The sequence below is a fragment of the Homo sapiens genome, chromosome 4, assembly GCF_000001405.40.
Source record: "Homo sapiens chromosome 4, GRCh38.p14 Primary Assembly".
Taxonomy (NCBI): Eukaryota; Metazoa; Chordata; class Mammalia; order Primates; family Hominidae; genus Homo; species Homo sapiens.
The window spans coordinates 82395035-82413552 of NC_000004.12; the positions used below are offsets into that span (position 1 = coordinate 82395035).

General features: G+C 42.8%; 1 non-coding gene and 1 pseudogene across 1 annotated transcript, besides 1 other annotated feature; both read right to left on the bottom strand.

Annotated features, from left to right (window-relative positions):
- Positions 6385 to 7573, bottom strand: IGBP1P4 (IGBP1 pseudogene 4; annotated as a pseudogene).
- On the bottom strand, positions 7604 to 7672 carry LOC124900890 (small nucleolar RNA SNORD42). The gene has a single exon (XR_007058524.1). It is a non-coding gene; the product is annotated as a small nucleolar RNA SNORD42 (small nucleolar RNA).
- Positions 16028 to 16982: an enhancer, noted in NCBI's record as "H3K4me1 hESC enhancer chr4:83332215-83333169 (GRCh37/hg19 assembly coordinates)". NCBI's record gives its function as "activates a minimal SCP1, AML or CMV promoter by ChIP-STARR-seq in naive H9 embryonic stem cells {active_cell/tissue: H9 hESC(naive)}" and the evidence as "EXISTENCE:reporter gene assay evidence [ECO:0000049][PMID:30033119]".

An 18518-nucleotide genomic window follows, 5' to 3' on the forward strand; every position in this document is an offset into this window, starting at 1 on the left:
TTAAGTAGGCATGATTAATTGAATCAACAGCCACAGGAATGGACTCAGACTCTTCCCCTCCCAGGACACTGGGTGATATCACATGCCTCAAAGCCCCAACTCTGTAATCACATGATCAGCCCCCTTCCTGAAGCTTTCTAAGGTGCCCAGCATGAGTCACCTCAGTGTAAACTCAGGTGTGATCTGAGAGCCTCATGAAAAACAAAGATACTCCTATTACTTCGGAAATTACAAGGATTTAGAGTCTCTCCCCAGGAACCACGGATGAGGCCAAATTCTCTATTATACAACAATAACCAAGAAAAATGAAAGTCTACACAGAAACCCGTGCATGAATGTTCATAGTAGCATTTATTCATAATAGCCAAGAAGTGGAAATAATCCACATGTCCATCAGCTAATGAATGGATAAGTAAAATAAGCTATATTCATATGTCTTGGAGGCCTCCAAGCTCACCCCTGTATTTGATGAGAGGACCCACAGGATGTAGTCATAGTCATGGTTAAGGTTTATAGCAGCAAAAGGATACAAAGCAAAATCAACTAAGGGCAAAGTCAAGAGGAAGCCAGGCACAGGCTTCCCAAGAGTCCTCTCCCAGTGGAGTCACCCAGGATGAGATTAAATCCCCCAGCAATGAATTGTAATAATTTGTGAAATGGTGTCTGCCAGGGAAACTCATTCGTGACTCAATGCCTAAGATTTTTATTGGGAGCTGATCATGTAGGCACCCTCTGCGTAGCATGTACCAAGATTGCAGACTCTAGGCGGAAAACAGGTGGATAGCACAAACCAGAGTTCATACAAATAGTTAAGGCAGAATAAACCATCCATATCAGTTAGGGAATGGTGGAAATCTCCCCAAATTCAAGGTCCCAGACACCAGTCAAGGGCCAATCTGGTAAGCAGGCTTCTCTTTTTATTTATTGATTGATTGATTTACTTATTTATTTATTTATTTATTTTTGAGATGGAGTCTCGCTCCCTCCCCCAGGCTTGAGTGCAGTGGTGCGATCTCGGCTCACTGCAAGCTCCGCCTCCCGGGTTCACGCCATTCTCCTGCCTCAGCCTCCCGAGTAGCTGGGACTTCAGGCGCCCGCCACCACACCCGGCTAATTTTTTGTATTTTTAGTAGAGACGGGGTTTCACCGTGCTAGCCAGGATGGTCTCGATCTCCTGACCTTGTGATCCGCCCCCTCGGCCTCTCAAAGTGCTGGGATTACAGGCGTGAGCCACCGCGCCCGGCCGGCCGTAAGCAGGCTTTTCTAAGGATAGCAGTCTCCAGCCTGCTGTGTTCATGCTTTTTTTTTCACACCATAGGATAGACTATTATTCAGTGATAAAAAGGAATAAAGTACTGATATGTACTCCAACATGGATGAAGCGGGGAACATCACGTTAAGTGAAAAAGCCAGTAACACAAGGCCACATATTGTATGATTCCATGTATATTAAATGCCCGGAAGCAAACCTATAAAGACGGAACAGACAGTAGTGGTTGCCTAGGGCTGGGACGTCAGAGAGAAATAAGGAGCAATTGCTAATAGGTAAAGAATTTCTTTTTGGGGCTATACAAATGTTCTGAAATTCATTGCAGTAATGGGTACACAGCTTTGTCAATACACTAAAAACCATACAATTTTACTCTTTAAATAAATTAATTGCATGAAATGTGAATTATAGCTCAAAAAAGCTGTTAAAAATAAAGAATGTGGCCGGGTGCGGTGACTCACGCCTGTAATCCCAGCACTTTGAGAGGGCGAGGCGGGTGGATCATGAGGTCAAGAGATTGAGACCATCCTGGCCAACATGATGAAACCCTGTCTCTACTAAAAATACAACAACAACAACAACAACAAAAAATTAGCTGAGTGTGATGGCGCGCGCCTGTAGTCCCAGCTACTCAGGAGGCTGAGGCAGGAGAATTGCTTGAACCCGGGAGGCAGAGGTTGCAGTGAGCCAAGATCACGCCACTGCACTCCAGCCTGGCGACAGAGCGAGACTCCGTCTTTAAATAAGTAAATAAATAAATAAAGGGGCCGGGCGCAGTGTTCATGCCTGTAATCCCAGCACTTTGGGAGGCCAAGGCAGGCAGATTACCTGACGTCAGGAGTTCGAGACTAGCCTGGCCAACACGGCAAAACCCCGCCTCTATCAGAAAATACAAAAATTAGCTGGGCGCGATGTCATGTGCCTGTGGTGCCAGCTACTCAGAGGCTGAGGCAAGAGAATCGCTTGAACCCAGGAGGCAGAGGTCGCAGTGAGCTGAGATCGCGCCACTGCACTCTAGCCTGGGCAACAGAGCGAGACACTGTCCCCACACCCTCCAAAAAACAAAAAAATAAAGAAAGAAAGAAAGAAGAGAAGCAGTTGCTCATTTTAGTATGTGCCTTTTTTTTTTTTTTTTTTTTTGCCTTTAGGAATATAAATTCAAGAATATTTGTAAGCAAAAAGGAAGAATAAAATCCCAAACGAGAATGTAGTTAGCTGAGGTATTATACTTCTTGGGTGAGCTTATAGAAATCTTCAATTGGATTATATAATTTTTATTCATAAAGTTTATATTTCCAAATGTTGAATCAGCTGTTGATTTTAAGCAATGTGTGTCACAACTGCTAATGACAGGAGTCACATCAGTGCTAGAAGAGAAAAAATGCACATATGTATTTGTGCTAATAGTTGTTATGCATGCCTCTATCCTTTTTTCTATACAATATACTGTACTACTAGCTAACATTAAAAGTCCTCCTTTAGAACAAAATATAGTAAATTAATAAGTCCCCAGAGGCCGGGCGTGGTAGCTCATATCTGTAATCCCAGCACTTTGGGAGGCCCAGGCAGGCAGATAACTTGAGCTCAGGAGTTCGAGACCAGCCCAGCCAACATGGGAAAACCCTGTCCCTACTAAAAATACAGAAATTAGGCTGGGCACAGTGGCTCACACTTGTAATCCCAGTACTTTGGGAGGCAGAGGCAGGCAGATCACAAGGTCAGGAGTTTGAGACCAGCCTGACCAACACAATGAAACCCCGTCTCTACTAAAAATACAAAAATTAGCTGGGTGTGGTAGCGGGCACCTGTAATCCCAGCTACTTGGGAGGCTGAGGCAGGAGAATCGCTTGTACCTGGGAGGTAGAGGTTCCAGTGAGCCAAGATCGCGCCTCTGCACTCCAGCCTGGGCAACAGAGCTAGACTCCATCTCAAAAAAAAAAAAATTAGCTGGGCATGGTGGTGGACACCTATAATCCCAGCTACTTGGGAGTTTGAGGTGGGAGAATAGCTTGAACCAGGTAAGCAGAGGTTGTAGTGAGCTGAGATCATGCCACTGCACTCCAGCCTGGGCAACAAACCAAGACGCTGTCTCAGAAAAAAAAAAAAAAAAGTCCCCAGAGACTTTAGCCATCTTAGCAGATCACCCTTGTGAACCCAAAAGGAAAGTGGAAATATGAGTTTTGAGTAGGTAAATTGATCTGCTGACATTACCAGCCCAGCATTCTCCAGGCTCTCCATTTCATGAAGAAAGACCTAGCCTTCCCTCTTGATGCTCACAGCAGAACTGCTGGGTAGGTTCTCCTATACACAAACTTCTGGGCATTCTTTTCTTCCCTTTGTTTCAGAAGTACCATTGTATATCCTTCACTGGCTCTGTGCTATATCCAAAGCAGTTTTTTCTGTTTCATTTTCCTGTGAAAAAAATTAAATTCCCGGTTTTTTGTTCTTTCTAACATCCCCCTTCTGCAACAGTCTCTTTATGACCCCAGATTCCCACAGCACTTTTTTTTTAATCCCAGCTATTTCTCCACATATCCAAAAATTATTTCTACCAACTGCTTCCCATTTTCTTAGTGCATGTCTTCCAGCTGTTGGCTTACCAAGAGAGATTTAGATAAACTAAAATACATTAAATATGTATATGATTGATATGCTCTTTAACTTTCTATTTTTAACTAAATTTCTATTTACCTTTTTTTTTTTTTTTTTTTAGACGGACCCTCGCTCTGTCCCCCAGGCTGGAGTGCAGTGGTGCGATCTCTGCTCACTGCAAGCTCCGCCTCCCAGGTTCACGCCATTCTCCTGCCTCAGCCTCCCAAGTAGCTGGGACTACAGGCGCCCGCCACCACGCTTAGCTAATTTTTTGTATTTTTTTAGTAGAGACGGGGTTTCACTGTGTCAGCCAGGATGGTGTCAATCTCCTGAGCTCATGATCTGCCTGCCTCAGCCTCCCAAAGTGTGGGATTATAGGCATGAGCTACCATGCCCGGCTGAGTAATATCTATTTTTAAGTTACTTATTTTTAAAATAAAAATGTCACATTGTAGAAAATTCATAAAATATGGGTTTTTTCCTTTTCTTTTGTCCTTTTTTTTTAATTGCTACTAAAAAGTAGTTCTCACCATTGTTTAAGTTTGAAAAATGCCCACACTTAATTATTTCTTTCTTTCTTTTTCTTTTTTTTTGAGTTGGGGTCGCCCAGGCTGGAGTACAGTGCCATGATCTCCCCATGATCTCCGCTCACTGCAACCTCTGCCTCCTGGGCTCAACCAATTTGCCAACCTCAACCTCCCAAGTAGCTGGGACCACAAGCGTGCACTGCCACACCTGGCTAATTTTTTGTATTTTGTATTTTTCACAGAGATGGGTTTCACTGTGTTGCCCAGGTTGGCCTCAAACTCCTGGGCTCAAGCGATCTGCCCGCCTTGGCCTCCCAAAGTGGCTGGGATTACAGGCATGAGCCACCACTCTAGGCCAAACAATTATTTCAATTATTCTTCCTGAGTAGAAAGTGAATGAGCAAATATTTGTGATACCTAACAGTCATTTCAGGAAGTCTAAAGATATTTGAAGGATAAAAAACATCTTAACATTTTTATTATTCTGAATTTAGGGCCTAATATAAAGGCAGAATGAAGAAGAATTGTCAGAAGATATAAGGTATGAACAGAAATTATAATTTTTAAAATCCAAGACCTCCGGGCACGGTGGCTCACACCGGTAATCCCAGCACTTTGGGAGGCTGAGGCGGGCGGGTCACTTGAGGTCAGGAGCTGGAGACCAGCCTGCCAACAGGGTGAAACCCCGTCTCTACTAAAAATACAAAAATTAGCCGGGTGTGGTGGTGCGCCCAGTGGTGTAATCCCAGCTACTTGGGGGGCCAAGGCAGGAGAATCACTTAAATCCGGGAGGTGGAGGTTGCCGTGAACCCAAATTGTGCCACTGCACAATTTGTGCCTGGTCAACAAAGGGAGACTCCGTCTCAAATTAAAAAAATAAAATTTATCTGGGCATGGCGGCACATGCTGGTAGCTCCAGCTACTGGAGAGGCTGAGGTGGGAGGATGGCTTGAACCTAGGAGGTCAAGGCTGCAGTGAGTGGAGACTGTACCACTGCATTCCAGCCTGGGTGACAGAGCGAGACCCTATCAAAACAAACAAAAACTCCAAAAGACAGTTATAGTTATTATACGTATTTAAAAACCACGTCAGTAGGGAACAGTTATTACTAGGAACTTAACTGAAAAGTGAGGAATTTTTGGTCAAAATTATTCCAGAGTATGCCAAGAAGTCTAGAGAATTAATAGAGTATTTTGGTGTTTCAAAAGGATAGCTGTTATCTGGTCACAGACTAACTTAGTCATTTTCCAAAAAGAAAATCCAAATTCTAATTTGACTTTTTTTATTTTAGAATATCATCCATGCAACAATTTTTAGTCAAGAATTTATCTGTTTTTAATAAATCTACTAACATTGATTTCACCTTAAAATTTTTTAACCATTTATAGATGATTCTTCAATTGATCTTAATATACATTTATATGTGTGTGTTTAGACATATATAATTACATGGCTATGTAAATAAGTTACAAAATTAAAGCTTTTAACTTTAAGATAAAATTAATCCAATCAGTATATTAAATAAATCAATGTATTTATACTTGAAATTATAATGTAAATATATCCAGAATTTATTTAATAAACTATATTATCTTGCATACATATTCATATTTCTCTGTAATTATTATGAGTATAGCCTTTATTGTTTTATTAATTATCACTTTTAGCCAAAGCAACCAACTTTTGTTTTTTGCATGGATGTCTAGAAGACAGTAAACCAAGAAATATCTACCTAATTTTTTTGGTACACATTTTAGACTATCTTCATAAATGTTAAGCTGGCAAAACAAACCAATATATGATATCATTCAAAGCATTTACACAGTTTATTTTTGCTTGTTTGTTTGCTTATTTTATTTTTTTATCAGATCCCCTATTCGGAAAAGCACATTTACACATCCTGTTTATAGTCATTTTATAACGTTATAAGAATAAGAATAGATCACATCTGTATTTAGTGACCAGAGGTTTTTTTTGTTTGTTTTGTTTTTGTTTTTAATCACTTGACACTTTATTGAATGCAAAACAAGATTTAGCATCTTTGCCTTCGTTGTACACAGCTGAAGCGTGAGCCCAGGGAGGGGAGGACTGTCTGGCTTTCCTTGGCGTGGGAGGTGTGCACCCTGCAGTCCTGTCAGTGTTGTGGGAACATCAGCCCATGTTCTATCGGTTGCCATAGCCCCAAGGATGGGTGTCCTTCCAGTCATCCCACTCCAGAGCTCTGTAGAGTGTTTGTTCATCATCCTCTTCCTCCTTTTCTTCTTGATGTTCCTATTGCTGAGCCGCTTTTCTGAATTCCTCTGGTGTTGCCTTGGCTATTTCCTGATCTCGTAATGCTCCATATTTCCGATGTTGCTCAACCAGTCACTCACCGTCATAGTTGCCAGACTTGGATAACCTGCTCCAAATACTTTGGCTTGGGCCGTGTTCTGAGTGAGAATGAAGGGTTTCACTGGAGGCCTCTCCTGGTGAGATGAGTTAGAAGTTGATGCCTCCTGAAGAGTCTCTTTCTCTCGGGATCTTTATTTCCTGGTCAATGTTCTCAATCTCTTCTAAGCTAATATCAATCCACCGCTGAAGGTGAAGAAGATAATATTCACAAACACGCTCATCATCTGCTTGACCACTTTCCACAGCAGGTTTCATTTCAGACAACCTATGCTCCAACTCCTTCTTCTGCTTGTATCTCTCTATTTTACCCTGTCTTCGAGATGCCATAGCAACGAGGCTAGAATAAGCCATGGAGGAATTAGCAGTGTGATTTTCGGCTGAGTTGTTCTTGGCTTTGGGCAGCTCAAACTCTGCCACATGATAGCAATGACACTGAGTTAAGTGGTTTATAAAGTGTTCTCGAGCCCGCTGCAAATGATCTAGACGCTTGCTGGAGTTGACTTGTTTCATGGTGAGGGCTCCTTGAAACACTGGCACCACCAGGTACTTCAGGTCGGTGGAAGCAATCTCTTCCAAATCTTCATTTCGGCTGAACAACTCGAGCTGCGATAACATTTCGGCAGCCTTCTCAAGGAGATCCATCCAGGCCCTTGAACACCTTCTCCTGGACTATCCGGGAATCGGCAGGTTCAGTCGCTACTTCTACTTCGTCCAGAATCTGTTTGCCGGTTTCCAGCAGCTCGGCGGGGGGCAGCGGGAGCAGTAGTTCGTCTTCAGCAGCCATCTTGGGGAGGGCTTTTTTTTACTTTTCTTTTTCTTTAAATTGCATTGAAGTGGTTCCTTTGAAGACATCACAAGTCTCAGAAGATTAAGATTTTTCCATCATATGCTATGACCAGAGTTTTGTATCATTTTTTAACTTAAAATTGTTCAAGTATCCAAAGATCATATATCAATTAATGTGTTTTATAAGTTCTTAAAGATTTAATAACTTGGAAATTAAAATTTTAATTAACACATTTTATAGTATTACAGGAATTTCACATAATCAAAACCTTTCAAAAGACATCTGTAATTACATTTTTATTTAATTAAACACCATATTATATTTCCAATCTTAAACAATTTTTGGAAATAATAAGTTATTTGACTCTTAAGCCCAATATAAAAATTTAGAAAGTTTAAAGCATTAGAAATTTAACTTCAGTATTATGAAAATTAAAATACAGTGTTAGCATTTTTACATAACAAAATACCATTTTTAACTTTTTCTGTTTAGAAATTTTTGATTATTTATGTGGACTAGATATTTCTAGAGTGCACACATGACAACAAAATGATTTTTTTTAAGTCAATTCACCTTTAAAATTTCTTGAGGGAGGATAGGAGGGAGAAAACAGGAAAAGAAAGTGAGAAGAATCCAGACACAGTGGCATGCACCTGTAGTCCCAGCTACTCAGGAGGCTGAAGCAGGAGGATCGCTTAAGGCCAGGGGTTCGCGGCTGTAGTGTACTGTAATCACACCTGTGGATAGCCACTGCACTCCAGCCTGGGTAACACAGTGCAACTCTGTCTCTTTAAAAAAAAGAAAGAAAAGAAAATAAAAGAAAAAGCAAGAGCCAGCTATAGATACATATACAATTATTGGAGAAAAGCTAATAATCTTTCTGCTCTAAGGAGAGGGAAGAAGTTTAGATATAGAAAAACCCATTTCAGGATACACTTGCACACACACAAGTTGTTACACCTGGTTGAAACAGTAACTTGGGCCCTTGACAATTTTGCCAACTCATAGAATAAAGCAGCCAATATTTATTAAACCCCTAAGAATGGAAATGAAGGATGTTTGGGGAGGGAGGGAGTCTTTCATTAAACTAAATGATCTCTCTTTTAGAAAGATAAGACAAAAAAGAAAAAACATTTAAAAAAGAGAAAAAAAATTTTAATAAAAAAGAAAAAGAATAGAGAAGACAGTACCCTCATGAGACTTGGGTTTTTTTCCTTTTTCATTCTAAGACATGTCTAAAATGAACAATCTTATTTGAGCCAAAGTTCTCCAGAGTAGCCTCTATAATTCACGGTCCTCTGTCAAGTTATGCCAGGAAGTAGTGCAAGTATCTTAGAGGCAAACCACAAGAGGTTGGCTGGTGGTCAAAAATAAAAATATTACTTTTATAAGTAATATAAAAGAAACTGTTTTAAAATAAATTCTCTCTCTTTTTAAAATACAAAACATAAAAGAAAAACTCATGAATTTGGGCCCTAACCCCAAGGATAAATTGCTCTGCCTGCTGACTCAAGAAATCAGCATGACCCTAAGGGACCAAAGAGATAATAAAAGTCCAGTTTCAATGCAAAACCCATGTAATCAAGGACAGAGAGGCCTAATGCAGGGGAGACTCAAGAAGTCTCAGATGCGCATATTATTACCAAGGGTTCTGGTTCACGGCACCGAGGATCTTGGCCATACCTCCATGATACTGTTCCAGCCCAATCAGCCTCAGACCATCAGGGACAAACCTGTAGTTGAAAGAAGTACGGTTTACTGACTTGCTGCAACAAGAGAGACTGCACATCAGAGAAACTATGAGATGTCTCACCAAACAGAAGAAAAGATAAGATAAGGGGCTGGGCATGGTGGCTCAAGCCTATAATCCCAGCACTTTGGGAGGCCAAGAAGGTCTGATCACTTGAGCCCAGGAGTTTGAGACCAGCATAGCAACGTGGTGAAACCCTGTCTCTACAGAAAATACAAAAATATTAGCCTGGTGTGCTGTCATGCGCCTGTGGTCCCAGCTACTCAGGAGGCTGAGGTGGGAGGATCACTTGAGCCCAGGAGGTGGAGGCTGCAGTGAGCTGTAATTGCACCATTGCACTCCAGCCTGGGCTACAGTGAGACCCTATGTCCAAAAAAAAAAAAAAAAAAAAAAAAGATAGGGACTGGGCATGGTGGCTCACACCTGTAATCCCAGCACTTTGGGAGGCCAAGGCAGGCAGATCATGAGGTCAAGAGATCAACACCATCCTGGCCAACATGGTGAAACCCTGTCTCTACTAAAAATACAAAAATTAGCAGGGCATGGTGGCACATGCCTGGAGTCCCAGCTACTCGGGAGGCTGAGGCAGGAGGATCACTTGAACCTGGGAGGCAGAGGCTGCAGTGAGCCCAGATCACACCACTGCACTCCAACCTGTCGACAAGAGGGAGACTCTGTCTCAAAAAAAGAAAAAAAGATAGGATTTGGGGAAGAGAGACATTTAGGTGAAAATTAAATAAAGCAGTATTTTGATAGGATCAAAGCAAAATAGGGTTGTATGTAAAGTGGGACAACATCAGATCTGGACTGCAAAGGAGAACAGGTTCCTGTTTCTTTTCTTTTTCTTTTCTTTTTTTTTTTTTTTTTTGAGACAGAGTGCAGTGGCACAACCTCGGCTCACTGCAGCCTCCGCCTCCTGGACTCAAGCTATCCTCCTGCCTCAGCCTCCTGAGTAGCTGGGACCACAGGTGCCTGCCACCACACCCAGCTAATTTTGTTATTTTTAGTAGAGACGGGGTTTTGCCATGTTGGTCTCGAACTCCTGACCTCAGGTGATCTGCCTGCCCCGGCCCCTCAAAGTGCTGGGATTACAGGGGTGAGCCACCACGCCTGGCCATGGTTCCCGTCTCTTTGGGTACTAGGAAGTTAAGGTGGAATGTTGTTTTCAGAAAGTCCTTCTCTGAAGCTTTGCACCTGGATTGGAAATCAAAGTTGCTTCTTTGTGCCTTAGATGTTCCAAGTAAGAGTGGGATATTTCATTTTTCCTGACATAATTTCCGTGGTTTCTGGTCTATCATTTCAGGGAACTAAGCTTCTCAGTCAGAGACAAAACAGTAGTCACACCAGCAAGGGGGTTGTTTTTATGCTTTACAGCTGCAGCATGTCCTTGAGAGAAACATTATTTCTCTTTAACTTTGCAGCTAACTTTATTTGTATGTGTCCTCCCAGATTCATGCATAGCGGGGCATATTTTTATTTTCTCAGTCCCAGCTAATTTATTTTCTCAGTTTTAAAGCCTGCAGAAATGGGCCAGGCACCGTGGCTCACTCCTGTAATGCCAGTACTTTGGGAGGCTGAGGTGGGCGGATCACTTGAGGTTAGGAGTTCGAGACCAGCCTGGCCGACATGGTGAAACCCTGTCTCTACTAAAAAGACACAATTAGCTGAGCGTGGCGGCAGGTGCCTGTAGTCCCAGCTTCTCAGGAGGCTGAGGCAGGAGAACCGCTGGGACCCGGGAGGCAGAGTTTGCAGTGAGCTGAGATCAAGCCATTGCACTCCAGCCTGGGTGACAGAGCGAGACTGTCTCAAAAAATAAAATAAAATAGCCTGCAGAAATGGTGAGATAGTGTTCTCTCTAACACCATTCAGGACAGAAAGAAAAAAAAGAAAAAGAAAACGAATAAGCATTGAGATTTTATAGATCAACTGGTACATAGATGGTCTTGATAAACTTTTCCACAGGAATCCAAGATAGGGAAAACACCTTTGAACACAATACTGGCATGCAGGTTGATGTACAGAAAAGGGCACAGGCTTTCTAGCCAGTCAGGTTTGAATTCTGTCTCTAACAGGACAAGACATGGGCAAATCATTTGTCCTTGCTGAGGTTTTCATTAACAGATATTCATGGAGCAAGTTACTCTACAAGGCTCTAAACTGGATTTCTCTCATCAGGATTATTGTGAGAATTAAGTATGTTAGCAGGCGAATATATTTAGCACTGTTCCTGTCCCCCAAAATATACTACCCTGAGTTTTGAAATGTAAAGAAAAGTCTGGAGGAGGAGACTGTCGACTCATTGGCGGTCAGGATCCTAACAAATAGGGGCAGAAATGATTGCAGCTTGCACGAGGGGAGCAGGAGTCTAAGGATAATCTTTAAGAACCAGAGACAGCCGGGTGTGGTGGCTCACGCCTGTAATTCCAGCACTTTGGGAGGCCGAGGCAGGCGGATCACGAGGTCAGGAGATCGAGACCATCCTGGCTAACACGGTGAAACCCCGTCTCTACTAAAAATACAAAAAATTAGCCGGGTGTGGTGTCGGGCGCCTGTAGTCCCAGCTACTCAGGAGGCTGAGGCAGGAGAATGGCGTGAACCCGGGAGGCGGAGCTTGCAGTGAGCCGAGATCGCACCACTGCACTCCAGCCTGGGCAACAGAGGGAGACTCCACCACAAAAAAAAAAAAAAAGAACCAGAGACAAGGCCGCGAGCGGTGGCTCACTCCTGTAATCCCAGCACTTTGGGAGGCCAAGGTGAGCGGATCACGAGGTCAGGAGATCGAGACCATCCTGGCCAACACGGTGAAAACCCCGTCTCTACTAAAAGTAGAAAAAAAATTAGCTGGGCGTGATGGCGGGCGCCTGTAGTCCCAGCTACTCGGGAGGCTGAGGCAGGAGAATGGCGTGAACTCGGGAGGCAGAGCTTGCAGTGAGCCAAGATGGCGCCACTGCCCTCCAGCCTGGGCGACAGAGCGACTCCGTCTCAAAAAAAAAAAAAAAAGAACCAGAGACATATGGTATGTTATTTTTCCTAAAATGATCTTTTTCATATATTAATATTTCTGAAATCAGGATACAACTTAAAATCTTTCATGTATATTTAATAGGGTATTTCTTTTTCTTTTTCTTTTTCTTTTTTTTTTTTGAGGTAGAGTCTCCCTCTGTTGCCCAGGCTGGAGTGCAGTGGCGCGATCTCGGCTCACTGCAAGCTCCGCCTCCCAGGTTCACGCAATTCTCCTGCCTCAGCCTCTTGAGTAGCTGGGACAACAGGCGCCTGCCGCCTCGCCCGGCTAATTTTTTGTATATTTAGTAGAGACGGGGTTTCACTGTGTTAGCCAGGATGGTTTCGATCTGCTGACCTCGTGATCTGCCCGCCTCTGCCTCCCTAAGTGCTGGGATTACAGGCGTGAGCCACCGCGCCCGGCCTAAAAATTTTTTTTTGAGACAAGGTATTGCTTTGTTGCCCAGGCTGAAGTCCATTGATGTGGTCATGGCTCACTGCAGCTCGACCTCGTGGGCTGAAGCTATCCTCCTGCCTTAGCCTCCAGAGTAGCTGAGACTACAGGCACACACCACACACTGAGGCGGGCAGAGGCTGAGGCAGGAGGATTGCTTGAGCCCAGGAGTTTGCAGCTGCAATGAGTCGTGAATGTACCACCGCACTGTAGCCTGAGAAACAGAGCGAGAGCCTGTTAAAAAAATAGATAGGGCCGGGCGTGGTGGCTCACGCCTGTAATCCCAGCACTTTGGGAGGCCGAGGCGGGTGGATCATCTGAGGCCAGGAGTTCGAGACCAACCTGGCCAAACATGGTGAAACCCCGTCTCCACTAAAAATACAAAAAAATTAGCCGGGCGTGGTGGCAGGCGTCTGTATTAGCAGCTACTCGGGAGGCGAGGGAGGAGAATCGCTTGAACCCGGGAGGCGGAGGTTGCAGTGAGCCGAGTGCACTCCAGCCTGGGCAAAAAGAGTGAAACTCCATCTCGAAATAAAATAAAATAAATAGATAAATTACAAAAAAACTGATTCTGATTAAATAATTTCAGAGAAATAAAAAGAAAATTTATGGCTGGGTGAGGTGGCTCACGCCTATAATCCCAGCACTTTGCGAGCCCAAGGCAGAAGGATCACTTGAGCCAGGAGGTTCAGGCTGCAGTGAGAAAAGATGTTCATGAGAGAACATGAACCAGAAAAGAAAATAAATAAAAATTTTAAAAAGAGATGTTATTTTTAGAAACTTGCTCTGTTGCCCAGGGTGGAGTGCAATGGCATGATCTCTGCTCACTGCAACTTCTGCCTCCCAGGTTGAAGCCATTCTCCTGCCTCAGCCTCCGGAGTAGCTGGGACTACAGGTGCCCGCCACCACGCCCGGCTAATTTTTTGTATTTTAGTAGAGACGGGGTTTCACCATGTTGCCCAGGCTGGTCTCGAACCCCTGAGTTCAGGCAATCCGCCTGCCTCGGCCTCCCAAAGTGTGTAAGCCACCGCGTGCCTGGCCAATAATTTGCATTTTTTCTTAGAAAATCCATGAGAAATAATGAGTAATTCCTTTTTCATCATTCAGCTTCATCCATTGTAGTAGATGCTCTAATATATTACTAATCTAATTTTCCCACACACTTAGTTTCTGTATAAATAACTGTCCACACTGTGACGATTACAAAGAAGAAATCGTGGTATATTAAATATTCTGAATGGTCACATTGACAGTCAAAATACCCTGCTTCAATGACAAACTTATAAGGCAAATAATCCAAATTTTTTTTTTTTTGCGTTTTTGGGAACTACTAATTAGTTCAGTCATATTAAAAGGTAAAGAAAGAAAACTAGGCCAGGCACATTGGCTCACACCTGTAATCCCAGCACTTTGGGAGGCCGAGGCGGGTGGCTCATGAGGTCAAGAGATCAAGACCATCCTGGCCAACATGGTGAAACCCCGCCTCTACTAAAACTAGAAAAATTAGCCAGGCCTGGTGGCAGGTGCCTGTAATCCTACCAATTCGGGAGGCTGAGGCAGGAGAATCGCTTGAACCCGGGAGGCAGAGGTTGCAGTGAGCCAAGATTGCGCCATTGCACTCCAGTCTGGGCGACAGAGCAAGACTCCCTCTCAAAAGAAAGAAAACTAAAGGAACTTTAAGTTACCATTACATCTCTCTTAAGCTAAAAAAAAAAAAAAAGTTAAGACCAATGTTGGCAAATATAACAAAATCAAATTAATTAATACAAAAATTTTGTAAGTAGCTCCGTAGATTATTCAGTGTTTTTGGAGAGCAATATGGCAATAGTGATAAATTATACTACTTTGGGAAATGTACAACCAACAATTACCGCAATCCAAAGGAATAAGGAATATTGTACAGTGAGGTTTATAGTCTTCATAACAATAAAACTCTGAAAACTAAATTTTATCCATGATGTTATAAAACTGGTGGCATGTATACAAAAATATATACTCCTCTATGAACATTTAGTTTTTTACAGTAATCAATGTCATTTACATTTTCCCACATTTATACCACCTTCTTTCCCTTTCATTCCTTTATGTACCCCTGGGGGATCACTTATCTTCTACAATTAGAATTAGCTTTAGAATTTCCTTTGGTGACAGCTTTCTGGTGATTATGTGTTAATTTTTTTCTTGCAGAAGATTAGAAGATGTCTTTTATCACCCCAATTTTTTTTTTTTTTTTTTTTAGAGACAGGGTCTCGCTCTGTCTCCTAGGCTGCAGTGCAGTGGCACCATCATAGCTCACTGCAGCCTTGACCTCCTGGGCTCAAGTGATCCTCCCACCTCAGCCTCCTGAGTAGCTGGGACCATAGGCGCACACTACACTCAGCTAATTTTTTAACATTTTGTTAAAACAGGATCTTGCTATGTTCCCCAGGCTGGTCTCGAGCTCCTGAGCTCAAGCAATCCTCCCCTCTCAACCTTCCAAAGTGCTGGAATTACAGGCATGAGCCATTGCACCTGGAGTCACCTCCAACCTTAAAAGAATTTTGACTGATTGGCAATTCTCAGTTGTAGTTACCCTCAACACATTCAGCACATCATTCCACTGTTAACTGTTTTTCACGGTTTCTATTCAGAAGTCAAAAGAGTAAAAAATCAGCTTTACTGTTGCTTTTTCTTTTCTTTCTTTCTTTTGTTCTTTCTTTCTTTCTTTTTTTTTTTTTTTTTTTTTTTTTTTTTTTTTTTGAGACAGGATCTTGCTCTCTTGCTCAGGCTGGAGTGCAGTGCCACGATCACAGCTCACTACAGCCTCGACCTCCTGGGCTCAAGTGATCCTCCCATCTTAGCCTGCAAAGTAGCTGGGACTACAGGTTCGTGGCCACCTTGCCCTGCAATTTTTATTTTTATTTTTTAGTAGAGATGAGGTCTCCCCATGTTGCCCAGGCTGGTATTAGACTCCTGGGCTCAACCAATCCTCCCACTTTGGCCTCCCAAAGTGCTGAGATTACAGGCAGGAGCCACTGCACCCAGCCAGTTGTGGGGTTTTTTTTTTTTAGATAGTCTTTATCAGGTTGTGGAAATTCCTTCTGCATTAGTCCGCTCAGGCTACCATAAGAAAATACCACAAATTAGGTGGCCTAAACAACAGACATTTATTTCTCATAGTTCTGGAGACTAAAATCCAAAGATCAAGGTGCCAGCAGGATTGGGTTCTGTTGAGGCCTCTTCCTGGCTTATAGATGGCTGCATTCTCACTGTGTCCTCGTATGGCCTTTTCTCTGCGTTTGTGTTGGTGAAGTGGGGGAGATCTGATGTCTCTTCCTTTTCTTATAATGGGAGTAGTCCCCTTAGATTAGGGCCCCACCCATATGAACTCATTTAACCTTTCTTTTCTTTTCTTTTTTTGAGACAGTGTCCCGCTCTGTCACCCAGGCTGGAGTACAGTGGCGCGATCTCGGCTCACTGCAACCTCCACCTCCTGGGTTGAAGCGATTCTCCTGCCTCAGCCTCGTGAGTAGCTGGGATTACAGGCATGCACCACTACGCCCGGATAATTTTTGTTTTTTTGTTTGTTTGTTTGTTTTTGAGACGGAGCCTCGCTCTGTCGCCCAGGCTGGAGTGCAGTGGCGCGATCTCGGCTCACTGCAAGCTCCGCCTCCCAGGTTCACGCCATTCTCCTGCCTCAGCCTCCCCAATAGCTGGGACTACAGGCACCTGCCACCGCGCCCGGCTAATTTTTTGTATTTTTAGTAGAGACAGATTTAACCGTGTTAGCCAGGACGGTCTCGATCTCCTGGCCTCGTGATCCGCCCGCCTCGGCCTCCCAAAGTGCTGAGATTACAGGCTTGAGCCACTGCGCCCGGCCTAATTTTTGTATTTTTAGTAGAGACGAAGCTTCACCATGTTGGCCAGGCTGGTCTCAAACTCCTGACGTCAAGTGATCTGCCCGCCTCAGCCTCTCAAACTGCTGAAATTACAGGCGTGAGCCACTGCGCCCGGCCTCATTTAATCTTCATTACCTCCATAAAGACCCTGTCTCCAAATACAACCACATTGGAGGTTAGGGTTCCAACATATGAATTTGAAGGGGGAACACAGTTTACTTGATAACACCTTCTATTTCTAGTTTGTTGTGTGTATTTGTTTTTATCATGGAAGGGTATTATATTTTGTCAAGTGCTTTTTCTGTATCTGTTAAGGTTAGCATGTGGTTTTCTTTATATTAATACGTGTGGTATATTGATTTTCAGATGTTAAACAAACTTTGCATTCCTGGGATAAATCCCTTCTGTTCATCGTGTATAATCCTTTTTATATATTGCTGGATTCAGTTTCCTAACTTTTAGGGTTTTTTGTTTTTGTTCTTGTTGAGACAGAGCCTCACTCTGTCACCCAGGCTGGAGTGCAGTGGGCGATTTTGACTCACTGCAACCTCCACCTCCTGGGTTCAAGCAATTCTCGTGTCTCAGCCCCCTGAGTAGCTGGGATTACAGGCATGCGCCAACGTGCCCGGCTAATTTTTGTATATTTAGTAGAGATGGGGGTTTCATCATGTTGGCCAGGCTGGTCTCGAACTGCTGACCTCAAGCAATCCGCCCGCCTCAGCCTCCCAAAGTGCTAGGATTATAGGCATAAGCCACCATGCCCAGGCTTGGGGTTTGTTTTGAGAATTTTTGTGTACGTATTCATAAGAAATATTGGTCTGTAGTTTTCTTTTCTTGTTATGTCTATGTCATTCTTTAATATCAGAGTAATACTAGCCTCATAGAATGAATTGCAAAGAGTTCTCGCTTGTTTTTTAGAAGGATTTGTGAAGAATTGGTGTTAATTCTTCTTTAAACATTGTGGTAAAATTCACCTTGGAAGCATCTAGTCCTGGACTTTGCTTCATGGAAAGTTTTTCTTTTTAAATTATTAATTCAATCTCGTTACCTATTATATATCCATTCAGATTTTCTTTTTGTTTTAGTTTTTATTTTACTTTATTTTTTTGAGACAGGGTCTTGCTCTATCACCCAGACTGGAGTTCTTTAGATTTTCTATGTCTTCTTGAGTTAATTTGAATAGTTTTTGCTTTCTAGGAATTTACTCATTTCATTTGGGCTATCTAATTTGTTGCTATACAGTTGTTCATTGTACTTTCTTATATTCCTTTTTATTTCTGTAAGGTCTGTATTGATGTCTCCTCTCTTATTTCTGATTTTAGTTATTTAAGTCTTCTCTCTTTTGTTATTGGCCAATATAACTATTGGTTTGTCAATTTCGTTGATTTTCAAAAACCAATTTTTGGTTTTGTTGATTTCGCTATTGTTTTTATATCCTCTATATCATTAATTTTCACTTTAATCCTATTAGTTCATTTCTCCTCCTGGCTTTGAGTTTGATTTGTTCTTCTTTTCCTAGTTTCCTAAAGTGGAAAATTAGTTATTGATTTCACATCTTACTTTTTATTTTATTTTATTATTATTATTATTATTTTTTGAGACAGGGTCTCACTCTGTTGCCCAGGCTGGAGTGCAGTGGTGCCATCTCGGCTCACTGCAACCTCTGCTTCCCAGGGTAAAGTGGTCCTCCCACCTCAGCCTCCTGAATAGCTGGGACTATAGGCACAGGCCACCAAGGCCCTGCTAATTATTGGTATTTTTTGTAGAGACCGGATTTTGCCATGTCGCCCAGGTTGGTCTCAAACTCCTGGCCTCAAGTGATCTACCCGCCTTGGCCTCCCAAAGTGCTGGGATTACAGGTGTGAGCCA